This window comes from Homo sapiens, chromosome 4 (assembly GCF_000001405.40).
Source record: "Homo sapiens chromosome 4, GRCh38.p14 Primary Assembly".
Lineage (NCBI taxonomy): Eukaryota > Metazoa > Chordata > Mammalia > Primates > Hominidae > Homo > Homo sapiens.
In genome coordinates this window covers 126,221,225-126,237,048 of record NC_000004.12, presented here as the reverse complement: position 1 = coordinate 126,237,048, position 15,824 = coordinate 126,221,225, and the positions used below count along the sequence as shown (strand labels likewise).

The following is a 15,824-nucleotide window of genomic DNA, read 5'->3' as shown; positions in this document are numbered from 1 at the left end:
ATGCAAAATCAGGGGGAAAAAAAGTTAATAGAAGCATACCTGAAAGTGACAATGATAAGGAAATTAGTTTTAAAAAGATGGAAAACAGCTATTTGAAACATATATATCAATTCAGGTAAAATATAATCATAAGATGAAGATACACTGGAAATATAAAAATGATACAATCTAGTGATGAATTTTTTTGACATTTCATCCCATAAAAACATCAGTAAGGAGGCTCAAAAATTAGACCATTCCAAAAAAATATTAGCTTACTAGAAAACAAAGCAACTGATACTGTGCAAAATTAAACTTAGAGAGAAGTAAAATTGGGAAAAAAGAAAAGAACAATCTCAGTAACCCATGGTATAATGTGAATCTATTCTCACAAGGAAAGGTTCTAGGAGAAGGGGCAGCAGAAAAGTATATTAAAAGAAATAACTGCTAAAACATTTCAACATTTATGAAACTATAAATCCACAGATTCAAAGAAACTAAACACGTCCCAAGAGGGATAAACACACACACACACATATGCGTGCACACACACACACACAGTTTCATCAGTTTGAAAGTTTGAATATCAAGTACATTATATTCATACTGGTAAAACTCTGTATCAGTGAGGAAAAAAATTTTGAAAGGGTCAAAGAAAGAAACATCATTTGTGGGTAAGAAAAGTTCAGGCTCCTGAACCTTCTTCTAGGCCCATCTAGCTATTTTGCAAAATCCAATTTTAGCAAGGAATTCTGCTAAGTCAATTTAGTAAGAACCTTCCACCCTTGATAACTGATCACCCTGATATCTGATTGAATTCCTCATCCTTCACCATCCCCCAGGTTATGTCTGACTACCCTGTCCTGTCTTCAGCAAGACTCCTGTTAAGTCAGTTTAGCCAGAATCCCCCTTTACTCTTAATGTTTTATTTTAGTAACTTTCCATCCATTAACCCCTAGACCACTTCTTTTTATATTTATTTATTTATTTATTTATTTTGAGATGGAGTCTCCCTCTGTCGCCCAGGCTGGAGTGCAGTGGTGTGATCTCGGCTCACTGCAACCTCCGCCTCCCAGATTCATGCCATTCTCCTGCCTCAGCCTCCAGAGTAGCTGGGACTACAGGCGCCCGCCACCACGCCTGGCTAATTTTTTATATTTTTAGTAGAGATGGGGTTTCACCATGTTAGGCAGGATGGTCTCCATCTCCTGACCTCGTGATCCACCTGCCTTGGCCTCCCAAAGGGCTGGGATTACAGGCATGAGCCACCACGCCCAGCCCCCTAGACCACTTCTTGACTATAAATTGTCACTTGCCTGTGCTGTGTTCAGAATTAAACCCAATCTCTCTTCTCCATTACAAAATCTCATTGCTGAGCTCCCTAAACCTATTGTAATGGTCCTGAGTTAAGTCTTCCTTACCATGCTTTGACAAATGTCGTTGAATGATATCTTTTCTTTAGCAGGACATTATTCTAGTCACATTACATATAGTTGAGCAAAGATCAAATTGTTTGTACACTTTTAATCAGAAAGAATTAAAGCAAGAAGTCAATGAAACTACATAAAGGATTCACAGAAACAAAACAAAACCAAAACAAAATAAACAAAAAACCCTGTCAACTTTGAATTCTATATTCAATAAGAATATCTTTCAAAAATCAGGAAGCAAGAATAAAGCCTGATGTAAACTATAGACTTTGGGTGCCATTCTAAGTTCATTGATGGTAACAAATGTACCATTGTGGTGAGAGGTGTCAATAGTGGAGATTGCATGTTGTGAGGACAGAGAGTATATGGGAGTTTCATGTACTTTCTGATCAATTTTGCTGTGAACTTAAAGCTTCTGTAAAGATGAAGATTATTAGTTAAAAATTAAGGTAATATAAAATATTTTAAAGACAAACAAGAATTTACAGAATCTATCAGTAGCAAATATTTTTTTACAAGCAATAGTAAAGAAACTTCTACAGGCTGAAAGAAAATGTCAGATGGAAAATAAATTTGGAGAAAGCAATAGTGTCAAGGGTGGGGAATGTGTTAAAAAAATCTTTTTCTTAGTTAAAAGTTAAAAATATCATAAGACTTCAATTTTTGGACATGAATGAATACCTGGTTTATAACTGGCTTTCACATTGTAAACTATAAGAGAATTGGACAAAACTTACAACAATGCTACTTTCAGAGATTGAGACAATAAGAAGTATAAGACTAGTTTCCTCAGAAAAGGGAAACAAAAAAGTATGCTCTACAGTTTACACAGGTTACCACTTGGAAGCAATTTTCTGACCTGTAGTATGGGCAGAGAAAACAGAAGCACAGCCTAGTGACTTACTTATTTGGGGAACACATATATTTTACAAAGCCAACTCAGCTAGAATTTGCAGAACAGAGACCAAAGAGATAGGAGTTTGGTAAGACTATCTCCAGGAAAATGCATGAGGTGCCCTTGAGTCTTTAGTTGAATATTAATTTTCACATGCAATATGATTACGATTCATGAAGCCAAGCAAATTAAAAAAACCATGAAGTTAAAGGGTAATAAATTACCCAGTTTATCAGAATAAACCATTCAAATCCCATTCAGTCTGAATAGAGAAACCATGAGGAATACTCCAAGCATCAAGAAAGGCCATGCCTTGTATTAAGCTTAAACTAGGCTAAGATAAAGGCTATATTAGACCCATCAAAACAGAGTCTATAAACAGGCTATTAAATGTTTAAAATTATCCACAAGCAAGTTAGCTTCTTCCCAGGCCAATCTTCAGCAGTCTTACAGAAGAAAACAAAATTAAACAAACAACAGCATAGCCATCACAATGCTTAACACCAAATCAGGGGACAAAACAGTAGATATGACATGTAACTAGAAAAATTAGAAAAGAAAACCCAGAAGTGACAGAGATAATGGTAGTAGCAAAGGCCATTTTTTGACTTGTGAAGTATTATTAACTTTTATCATATATATTTATAAGCTACAACATGATGTTTTGATGTATACATCAAATATGATGTATACATTGTGGAATGATTATATCAAGTTAAATAACATATCCACCAACTCACATACTTTCTTTTTTTGTGTGTGGTAAGAATACTTAAAATCTTACTCTCAGCAATTTTTAAGTGCATAGCACGTTATTACTAACTGTAGTGGCCACATGGTAATTCCTCCTGTCTAATATAAACTGTTCCTTTTCTCCAGCAAACAAAGGCTTTTAAACATCTACTGTAAATGTTGCAAGTATGCTGAGGCATTTAAAGGGGAACATAAACACAATAAGAAATGAAATAGAAGATAGAAACTGAAAATTATAGAGCTGATCTACTTAATGCATACTGTGGAAAATTCACTCGAGATTAACAGCAGATTAGACATAGAAGAAGAAAAGATCAGTGTAATGAAAGACATCAATAGAAAAATATGTAATTAAGCACAATGAAGTTTTAAATATCAATACAGAGACAAAACTTAGAAAAATTCTCAAAGCAGACCTGGGTTTATTCAGCAAGATAAATTTAAAATGTATAATTTGCGGTTTACTCCTGGCTCATCATTTTAATTTTATTGCCAACATTTTGCTTGGTACCAAATTTTAAAATTTCTTTATGAAACATTTTTTTACATTTTGCTGTTGCCTGTAATATGTAGAATATTTTCTCTATGTAAACAAATCCAATTTTCAAAAGAGATAATTTTGGTAGAAACTAAAAAAAATGGAAAAGTATGTGGTATAAATGACTTGTAAAAGTGAATCTCTCTTTTAGAAAATATTTTTAAATAATGCAAGCTAAAGATCCTATTAATGGTGAAGCCGAGTAAAGAAAATGGTCTTTTAACAGAAATAAACGATTGGATTCTAATGTCAAGGTACCCCCACACCAACCAGAAAAATTTCTTGAACTTCCACGTTTCAAGAACTAATAGCGTGACCTAAGAATATAATGAACATCTTGTTTATGTAATGGTTATGCCATTTTGTTAACTCACCTCCCAAAACATATGCTTATTTAAAAATAATCTCCTTTCTATTAAAAATAACTATCCATAACAATTAAAGGTCAACATGTTCCAAATAATTCCCAAATAGTTAATATTAGCTATCTTTACTACATTTTCCATGTTGTAAGTTACTATGGCGAAGCAAATAAGTTTAAGTAAGACACGATCTCATATTCATTATTAATCTCATGTCATGTTATTATAATTTATACCACATAATTTGTAAGCTAGAAAAATCATAAAAGTAACTTCTTATCAAAGAGACTCTTAAATTGTTTAGATTTAGATAAATTTCAAAATCTTAGAGTAAATAGTTTTTCTTCTTTAGGATTAGGTTTGTTGAATAACATATGAGAATACCTTTCATGTCCTGACATAGCGATAATTTCAGAGGAGTGGTGAGGCTGCAGGGTACATTACATACTAAATGCAGGGGCTGGCTTAAAGTCAAATAAAACAGAATGGCAAACGAACCGAAAAACAAAACCAAACAACTCTCAGAGCTGTTACATTTATCTAGAATTCCGGTGATTACAATATATGTTTTTCTTTAGAGATAAACTTTACAGAAGAGGACAGAGCTAGAGGCCAGATTTTATTCCTTTCTCCCTTCTATGTTTTATCTTAAATCTCAAAAGTCACCTTTTCACAAGGGGACCTGCTTCACGGTCTAATTCACTGAGTTCCACTGCATGTCCTGATATAAATGTTAACGTTCCAAATCTTTTGCTTTTAATGTAACTCCAAGAATAGGAAATATAGCCTATTTATTATTTTAAGCCATTTTATTCAAAGCTGGAAAATATATTAATAACATATTAAGAGAGTACTAAAATTACTTATTTGAAGTTCACATTTAACAGCCCAAAGTTCAAGACTATAAATATTGACACATATTTGCCACCAATATCTGCCTCTAGTAATAGCCCCGTGGTTTATATCATCTTCTGTCATTTTCTAGATTATGGTATCTTTATTAGATGTTAATTTAGAGATAACTTATTTTCAGACTCCAGATTTCATTATACTTTTTCAGTGAAAAAGTAAAGCATCAAACAATTTAAGATTGGTTTATTAAAAGAGAAGTAGGGTCGTCAGTGACTTCCATATTTCTAAATGTAATGGCATTTTCAATTGTCACAGTACTTGACTGTTAGCAAACTTTTCTAATAGGGACTACTCTATGTTTGACATATGTTTTTTTCTCACTGGGTTTCAGGGCATAATGTTTTCCTGCTTTTATCTCTACATTTATGGGCCTTTTTTTATTCCTCTTTTGTTGGCTCAAACTTCTCTGGCCATTAATATTTGTGGTTTTATAAGACTCATTTTATTATTTATTTTTATCCAGTTGATTTTGCCCACATTTATAGTTTGTTATATAAAGTAATTACTGACAAATATATATATATCCCCTGGCTAGACTTTAATGCAAACTCCAACTATATATAAACAATTACTTCTTTGTCATTTCCACTTTCATGTTTCAAAAATCTCTCTAAATACAAAATGCACAAGACTAAACTTGGGATAATCACTCAAAACCCAATACTGACCTAGTATACTTATTCTCATGGAATGATACCACCATTCATGTAGTTCCACAAATTTCGAATGTCTTCTTTCCCTCATAGCCCATAATGATGGGAAATTCTACTTAATTTACCTCTTAAATATTTTCAAGTTTTTCTTCTACTTTCCATTCCTGTCGTCACTGCCCAAATTCATTGCCATCACCTTGATTACCACAATAACTTCTAAGTGGTTTTGCTTCATTAATGGTTACACCTGCCAATTATAGTCTCTACAGAGCTATAGAGTAGACAGAGTAAGTTTCTCAAAACTCAAATCTGATTATCACTTCTTTGCTCAAAACATATCAATGGCTTTACAATGTTTTCAGAATAAAGGCCAACATTTATTTAATGTGGCTGTCTTAGTTTTGTGTTGCTATAACAGAACACCTGAGGCTGGGCAATTTATAAACAAAAGAGATTTATATGGCTTATTAATCTTGTGGCTTGAAAGTTCAAGACTGGGCAGCTGCATCTAGCGAGGGCCCCATGCTAGTTCAACTCATGGCAGAAAGTGGAAAGGTGAAAGTCTTGTGCAGAGATCACATGGTGAAATAGGAAGCAAAAGAGAGAAACCAAGGGAACCAGACTCTCTTTTTGTAACCTGCTTTCACATAAACCAATTTATTCCATATGAGAAGGAGAACTCACTGACCCCTGAGGGACGGCATTAATCTATTGATGTGTAATCTGTTCCCATAACCCAAACACCTCCCACTAAGCCCCACTTCTCAATACTGCCACATTGGGAATCATATTTTAATATGAGTTTTGCGGGGGACAAATTGTATTCAAACCATAGCAATGGCCTACAAGACCTTGCATGGCCTGGCTTCTACCCACTTCCTTAGCATCATCTTATACTACACCTCCTTGATTCCTAGCTCTAAGAACAAGTTTCTTTGATTTGTCAAACAAGCTATAGTTGAACCTACAGCATAAACTTTGTGTATGTTGTCCTTTCGCCAACAATGCATTCCCCCATTGCCTAGGTAACCACTTACAGTTCCAGTTTCAACTCAAGTATTTCAATTCCTCAGGGAAATCATTTGTGAATGTCCTCCACTCCCAGTCTGTGTGTTTTAGGTCATTTCTTTGTTGTACAAAGAGCTAGGGTACTTTTCTCAGCTGACTTAAGAAATGAATAACCTTATCATGTTGACCAGAGATCTGAAAAATAAGAATTAGTCTTTCAAAAAAAGTCTTAAATTATTTATAGCACATTTTTTAATTTGATGCTTTTTTCCTTTCACTGTTCAACTAGTAAATCTCTTCAATAACTTCCAAGTATTTGTGATTGATTCATTTATTCAACAGAATATTGAAGTGAACACATATTTTATAGCAGACACAACTCTAGACTGTGGCTATTAAGCTGTAAGCAATACAATAGCATTTGTAGGGTCAGCATTTATTGAGTATATGTACAGAAAATAAAACAAAGAAAAAGGAATATACATTAAAATGGCTCTGGAATTTTACATATTAAGAACTGAAGCTAAACTAGCTTAAGCAATACTGGGACTAGACATCGTTTTATCATCCTAGATTTTTTAACAAAGCTGGCAGTGAGTGAATAATTTTTTTGCTTCCATCAGAAATGAATAAATGCGGAAACATCCATGAAAAAATACTGTTACTGAAAAGTGGGATAATGAACTAACTGAACAGCCGATTTTTAAGACTCTGAGCCTTCTTATCAAAACTCACTTCAAGATCTTTGCTTTACTCTTACCCCTCCCCCATTTGAAGCTATTTTATAAATTCTGTTCAATCCCAATTGATTTCCTGCCTAACTAGGCCTACTTAAAAAATTTCCCACACATGGTCCTAAAACCTTAACTCTCATAAATACTCTGCCTTAATTTCCCATTTTGAGATATAAAGATTCCATTAAGGTGGTATTCTCCTTTACTTCAGCAAGCCTAATACAGTTTTGCTTTAGCAACAGTTTTTTGTTTTTGTTTTTGTTGTTTTGTTTTTCTCGGGGAGCCAACAGTTAGCAATAGCACTGGAAAATATACTGGAAAACTGATGACAAAAGAAATGAATAACAAAACAGAGATGATGTTTCTGCAAATGTGCCTGAGAATTGATTAAAATGTTAACAATATAGACTCTGCATTCTACTTTGGTAGGAAGATGACAAGAAGAGGGTAAGGTTTGGACAGTGAGCATTTTGGGGATTATACAAGGTTTTAATGTGCATAGACACTCAGGGAAAAACTGGAGCTATGAAATTGTGTATGGGGCAGGGGACTATTGGGGAACACTTGTACTTACAAATATGGTTTCTTAATATCTCATAATTGCCCCAAGAATTGACTTGTAGTGACTAATATGTATGCCATAAACAAATGCATATTTGGCATCCAAATCAAGTGAATTCCTCAATATTCTCATGGACCTATGGAAATGGTGTAGAAGAGAAGAGAATTAAGAGAGATTGAATGTGTTCTCTAGTAAAAAAAAAATGTATATTCTATGAAGCAGTCAATAGAAAATTCTATGGCAAAAATCAACTTCCTTTGGAAAGCAGTTGTATCAGAGGCAAACTTGTAAACATTGTATGCTTATGAATAGATAATTAAAAGTACTATGATTTAATTTAAACTACTAGAAATCATCTAGAAGGAAACAGTTAAGAGTTTATCACTTTTAAATGAAAAATAGAAAATAATTTACTACTGTTTGAAAACAAAATCACAGAACCTGACATTGTGCTGTTCCTCCATTCTCTTCCTAGTAATCCTATATGAATAGAAATACAAGGAAAACATGATTTAACAGTAGGGAAACATAAAGAAGATACAACAATTTTATTTCTCCTGGTGATGTTTCTTTGCAAGTGGCTTTGGTCAAAGAGAAGGTAAGAGAGCAAAGACAATTCTATGTTAGGACACCAAACATAATTTTGTTTCCAACAGCAGATTTCTAGTTCTGTGAAAATATATTATAGTTTTTCCACTAATACAATAAGAATATTTTTCTTTTGAAGTTAAATAAGAAGAAATAAGTATTTACATAACAATGTAAAATATTTTACAAAGTAAATTACATTTATATATTTTCTGTAAATATAATTCTGTTGTGGACTCAAAATGATCATGTCATGTACTACTATGCTTGCCATTCAAAAATGTGTTTTACTTGAGAGGAAGAAATTGTAAGATAGTGTTTTTTCCAGAATTATTCCTGAATTATTAAGGTTTTATTTAAATGTTGAAGAAACTTCAAAATGAAAGGAGGGTAAAGGCCAAGATTTTCATAACTGTTAAGATAGTGCATTCCACATAACAAAATTCTTCATGCTTATCTTATGAATGAACTATTAATCATATTGTTATGATTATTTAATCTTAACATTAATATGTTAAGAAGTAAATATTAATATATTAATATGTTAATAAGTTGAAGAAGAAATGATGAGTAGCAGGATCCAGTCCTCAATATGGGTAGTATATTATAGTATACTATAGTATAGTAATACAGTTATAGTATATAAAATGTAGATCATATGGCATATCTGGACTCATTTAAGGCATTTTTTTAATGTATTTAATAATAACATTGTAGCTGGCCTGAAGGAAGAGTATGTATCTCACAATGTTTGATAGCCTAGAGTAACAGAACAAATGCTACAAGATAAAACTAAATTTAGTTTTAAAAATATCAAAATCTCCTTAAGGTAGGAGGAATTTTTACATATATTAGCAGATGTTGATTTAATAAAGACGTAAAGATTTCAGATTGCAATAAACATGAATGGGAAAGGTGATAGTCTTGCCCCACTCTTTGTTCGTCAGAGTACATTTGAATATTGAATTCTTTTCTGGGTGTTGCACATTAAGAGGGAGAGAAACGCACGAACATATTCAAGAATGGGAAACCCAGATGGTAAAGAGAACAGTTTGGACACAAATTGTACCACAGAAAACCATAGTTAGCAAGTATAAGATAGTAGATTTTGGCTAAGTGTAAGAAAGAACTTTCAAATAACAGAATCTTTTGAAGAAGGAATTGAGTTATTTTGGAAATATAGCCAAATATGTATGCTTGTGGGTGTATGTGTATGTATATGTGCACATATAATATGTTTCCCTTGTTTGAACTTACTTTTAAAATTAACATCTTAGTTGTCTTATTTTGTAAACCACAGCAGTGGTGCATTGTTTTAAGAGAGTTACTTTATTTAAAAAGTGGAATAATTACTTAAAATAGAGTGAAGCAACTGAACAGAGAATTCTATGTTTATGATTTATTAATCAAATCCCAAATATTTATCTTACCCATACCTATTTGATATAACTTGTCTCTGGCAACTTACTTTTATAGATGTTTTTCAAAACATTCAACTTCATTTTATAATTGGGTTGCATGCTATAAATTTAATGATCTTTTATTTAAAAAATGACTCTATTATACAAAGATTCAGAAGGGATGGTTCAAATTGTTGACTAGAGCACTGATCGCTATAATGCCAAGAATAATTGAAATGAACTTTTATTTTAATGTAAAATGATTATTATTATTTTTAGATGGAATCTCACTCTGTTGCCAGGCTGGAGTGCAGCAGCGCGATCTCGGCTCACTGCCACCTCTGCCTCCCGGGTTCAAGTAATTCTCCTGCCTCAGCCTCCTGAGTAGCTGGGACTACAGGCACACACCACCATGCCTAGCTAATTTTTGTATTTTTAGTAGAGACGAGGTTTCACTATGTTGGCCAGGATGGTCTCGATCTCTTGACCTTGTGATCCACCTGCCTTGGCCTCCCGAAGTGCTGGGATTACAGGCGTGAGCCACCACGCCTGGCCTATAATGTAAAATTCTAAGTTACAGTAATGGCATATTATTCTTTTAGTATTTTTAAATAAAGAGTATTTGGTGTATATTAAAAATTAAGCAAATTAACATAAAATATTAAATAATTTCTACTTTACACCCTTCGATCTATAGTTTTTCTCCTTCAGAATGATTTTTTTAAATTTTTTTGAAAACTCTTTTATATTTTTAATTCAGAAAAATTTCTCAGTAAAGCAACTGTTAATATTATCCATTTGTGTTCCACTAAGGAGGATAAAGGAATGGACTTATTTAAACTACCAGTCACTACCTCTTTCTCAATTTTCTTCTCCAACCTGAGTTTTGTAATAATCGTTTTTATTAATTGTAAGAATAAATTTTAGCAATACATTTATTCCTCAAATTCTGGATCCATTCACATCAGATACATCAGATACTGTCCTTTGGACTCTGCCATGGGAAATTAGGAATTTAGTGTATGTCTCTTACCTCCACATATCTACTCAGCCCCTGAGTTATTTGTGTGATGCCATAGCTTTTAAATTGTAAAGTCATGTAATATTTACCTCAATTCCAAGTTTTGTCAATGGCTTGATTCTAAAAAAATTGAAAACCAACTTTCATAATATACCTAAGTAGAATTGACTCTTGAAGCAAGTAATGTAAAATAACTCATTTTAAAAAGTCATATATACTGTCACTTAGAAGAGCATTTTCAAGTGTTAAGTTCAAATTGATCTCCTTTCCTACACTTCATTGATTGCTAAAGTGATAATTATCAGATAACATTTTGCTTCATTTTTGAACAATTAATTTCCTTTATAGCTTTATGTATCCATTCAAGTTGCTAATCATTTTTCTTTCTCTCGTTTACAGAAAAGATTTGTTAGTTTTTCACCAGGTTACTATAGTTTTCTAACTTCCTGATCATTATCTCTATTGACTGGAATATATTTTCTTTTTAGGAGAGATTCTATTCATTCTTTTGCCTTCATATTTTGACCAATATTTTTAAAATAGTTGGAGAACTACCATTGTAAAAGGATACATGATACTCCACTGTGCCAGGAAATACTATTAGAATTAACTGTTTTTCTAATTATATATAATTAAGATGTTTCTAACATTTGGTATTGTTAAGAATGTAGCTAAAGTAATATGTGTATATTATGTATATAAATGTACATTATATATAGTGTATATTTACAAAATACAATGTAGTATATACACAATTGTTATTTGGATTTTATTACATTCTTAACCCATGAAATACACAAATACACTGTTGTCAAAAAATAATATTGTGTTACTCTGTTCACATGCTGCTAATAAAAACCTACTTGAGACCGGGTAATTTACGAAGGAAAGAGGTTTAATTGACTTGGAGTTCTACATGGCTGGAGAGGACACACAATCATGGTGGAAGACAAATGTAGAGCAAAGTCACGTCTTACATGGTGGCAGGCAAGAGAGCTTGTGTAAGGGAACTACCCTTTATAAAACCATCAGATCTTTTGAGACTTATTCACTGTCATGATAACAGCATGGGAAAGACCTGCTCCCATGATTCAATTACCTCCCACCAGGTCCCTCCACAACATGTGGATATCATGGGAGCTACAATTCAAGATGGGTTAGGATACAGCCAAACCATATCCAACATAATATCGAAAAATTAGTATAGTACCAAAAATACAAAAGTACACAAATAAAGGATTCTAAAGGTAACCACTAAAAACAGAGTAAAATACATAATTCCAAATATATTTTTATGCATTTACAAACACAGATATACATATAGAAATGCATACTTTATGTACATATTTGGCATAATTTAGAATACAGCATGTAATACTCCACAGTTCCTTTTTTATTATAATAAATGTACACTGAAAAAATTTCAAAATTGGTACTTTTTGTCTTTAACCTCTGCATATTATTCCGTAGTATAGATGTACTAAGAATTATTCAAACATTTTTATTGATTTAGCTTAGTTTGTTTCTTTATTTTCAGTTTTACAGAGAAATCCAAAGTAATCTTATTTTCAATACTTCTTCATGATCGTGAATAAATATTTACATAAGTGTGAAACTGAGAATTAGACCTGACATTAGAAGGGCATCTACTTTAATAATGTAAATAGAAGTAGTCACATTAAACCATAAAATATTTGTAAAACTTTCATCTTCCATTAACAGCTAATGACCCATTCTCCTGCCCCCACCAAGTTGCAAATTCTTAACTTTACAAGGTTTTGATATTGCTTAAAACACAGATTAGAAAGAAAATGTATTTGATGTCTAGATTTATTTGTGCATCATAGTGACCTCCTCCACACTTTTTTTTTTAATTTAGCAAAGCTAAGGAAACCAGATAGCCCCCAGAGTGATTTGTTTTGCTTCGTTTTATTATACACAGAGGGTGAAACTGGGAAAAGCTTCTGATGGTGGAAATAGTCCAAATAAAAGTATAGCTTAATAAAAACTAGGATTTAGGAAAAAGGTGAAATCTATATTTCCCTGGTTTTAACATAATTATATTTTGATTAGATATTAATATCATCAGTGGGTATTATTAGTATGTTTTACATGAATTTTATTTGTGGACAGAGGCAATGCTAACTTACTTGTGAGGTGCAAATCACTAATCTTAGCTAATTAAGACTTGGAAATATTAATCACTAAACTACATTCCTCCCTCTATTGGCAGATAAGGGAATCACAGTCTTAGTGGCTTAGGAGGAAATGCTTGTAGAGAAGTGGTGTATTTTTTAAAAAGTAAATATTGCACAGAGAGTACTCAGGGGATGTTTAGGAAGAAGAAAAACATCATAAGAAATGATAACTGAAAAACTGTATATACATACCTACATTAGAAATGTTTATTCAGCACATCGGGAGTGTAATTCTGATATGGTATCTCCATCTTTATCTTCTATAACCATCCATGGTTTATGCACATTTAATTTCTTAAATGTTATCCTATTTCAAGGAGAATGCCTTAGGAGCTGCACAATTTCCCTAATGCATTTAGGAGTTGAGGCTTTAAAAAAAATTAACATTACCACTTTTCAGAATATGATTAAATTTTTATGTATTCTCAGGATGTTAGTAAAGTAACAATAATTAGATAACAAATGTGTTAACAATGGTATCAGTAATAAAAATAATATTAATATATTGTTGGTGTTTTTCCTATTATATTACTTTAGAAATTCATTTTTCATTATTTATGCTTTTTATATTTATTAATAGTATTTGAGTATCCCAAGATGCTAAAAAATTGGAATACATACTATGAAAAAAATTTTCTGCTTGCAGCCATATTCATCAAAGATGTTAAGCCTACATACAGTGTTTCAGCACAACCAGTTAATTATCTGAAGCTGATCAAGGACCATGAACTTCTAGTGACCTAGTTTGCTTGACTCTTCCAAGATCTGGTTGAGATAACACTTTGCTAATCAATGAAAAATAGAACTTTTAGCCTACCGTACATTGGCTGATACATACATTTCATATTATCCAGAGAGTGAATTTCCAATGCTGAATTAGCTTAACCATCGTGAAGCTACCTTTCCATTTCTAGCTCTAAAAAGCCCTTGACTGTTCCTCCTTACACAATTTCCTCATTGTTCAGGGTTTCCTTGACTGTCAGATTGAAAGACTCAAGATAAATGGGTTATTAATTAACTTATTTATTCATTCACTCCCATTCTTCATTTATGTTTTGTAATGCATTGCAACAGTTTTCATTTTTAAATAGTAAATGGCACATAAAATGCTATTAAATTTTCACTATTATATCATAATAATTTGTTTAGTCTTTTTGCCTCTTTGGTACTAAACTATACATCATTTTTCATACGCCCTTATTATCTGTTTTAGATTATGCAAAAAATGATTGAAGTGTATATGGATTTGGAAAAGTTTCAAGTACTTGAATTTTTGTGCAATCCTACACATTATTCCTTTGCATTTTTAAAAAAGGCCTTCCAAAAATTTTAAATTCAGTAAATTATAAAATCATTATTGAAAATGACATATTAATATAATTTCACTTTCCACAAATATTACAGTTTTAGAGTAAACTGAAAAACGCAAGTACTTTATCAATGGGGTACTTAGGTATAACTTGAAGCATACAAGTGATGAGTAATATATTTACTAAATGCATATCTGGGAAAACTAAAATATGTTTTCATAGATGAAGAAAACTGTAATAACTGGATAATTTGTTTTTCTATAATGGCAATATGACACAAAGACGTGATAAAGCAACAGAAGTCAAAATTATACTTCACCATCATATTTGTATATAAATGACATTTGGTAAATAAAAATGTGTAAACTATCTCAAGATCAGTTAACTTTATATAATGGTGACTGTTTAAAATGTCTCTGACGGCCTGTATGGAGATTACATTTGGTTAAATGTACATGCAGCCACAGGCACAGGGCCTCACACATTTTAAGACTTCAGTTATGTTTGTATTTCTTGGGGTGTGTCTTTTTCCTTCTCCAAATGGTTAGAGCAAGATTTTTGGCAGGCAGTATTGCTCTCTTTTTAAATTAATGTTTATATGCTTCTCCCTGTGTCTGTGAAGATTATAGATTCTATCCTAACAAAGCTGAGAAAAAGAAGCTACCATTGATCTGAAAACAGAGAGAGAAAGCCATAGAAAGAACAGAAGAGAGAAAATGCCCTAAGTTGTTATCTGAGACAGAAGCAGGCCCCATCTGTTGGCCAGATTCTGAGCCTCTGGATAGGTTCTGTTTATTAGGACTGATCCCAGAGATATCAGCCCAAGTGGCTGAGTATGAGAACATGGGGAAGGTGGTGAGGGCTCAGGGGCATTTATTTTATTTTATTTTATTTTTTTGAGGAGAGGTCTCTGTTCTTTGAATTCCAGGTCAATGAGAATGTCTGGAAAATGGATTCCATCTGTTCACAAGAGTACATGAAGAGGGGAAGGTTGTCATTGTGTACAGACTGGAGAATCAGACCTAAACAAAACCCAGAGTTAAGGAAGTAAGTTTTCTTTGGAGAGAAATTTCAGCTCCAGAGTAAATGCCAACTATTGGGGTAAGCTTCCAGAAGGAAGTAGGGAACAGCAAAAGGGGGAACCTGCCAGAAGTAAATTCCAGCTGGAATATCGTAAAGTGACATATGTGTGAGGTGCTGTAGCACAGCTGGTTTACTTCTCTAGGTATCATCAGGCAGCTGAACATGCTGGGTGAAACCATTCCTGGCACAGACTTCTTGAAGGTTCAGTGAAGGACCCGGACAAGCCTAGGTAATTCATTCATTTCCAGACACAGTCTCCTCTAATATTTTCAAATAAGTGAACGTTATGTTTTTTGGAACAATTACTAAATTACAGTTTCATAGTGTTTCTATTTGATGAGCATTTTTTTCCCATGGACCCAAAAATAGTTTTATTGTAGAAAATAATGGAGTTATGC

At 32.7% G+C, this 15,824-nt stretch overlaps 1 long non-coding RNA gene across 3 annotated transcripts in view; it reads left to right on the top strand.

Moving 5' to 3' along the window:
* Positions 1–15,382, top strand: part of LOC105377409 (uncharacterized) — a 33,624-nt gene extending 18,242 nt beyond the window's left edge. For 2 of the 3 annotated variants that reach the window (XR_001741523.1, XR_939181.2), the window contains exons 3-4: positions 8,302–8,424; positions 15,272–15,382. This is a non-coding gene — a long non-coding RNA (uncharacterized LOC105377409). Of the gene's footprint in view, positions 1–8,301; positions 8,425–10,093; positions 10,131–15,271 lie in introns of those variants that run through there. The other variant, XR_939180.2, reaches the window with a different exon arrangement.
* The last annotated feature ends 442 nt before the right edge of the window (positions 15,383–15,824 follow it).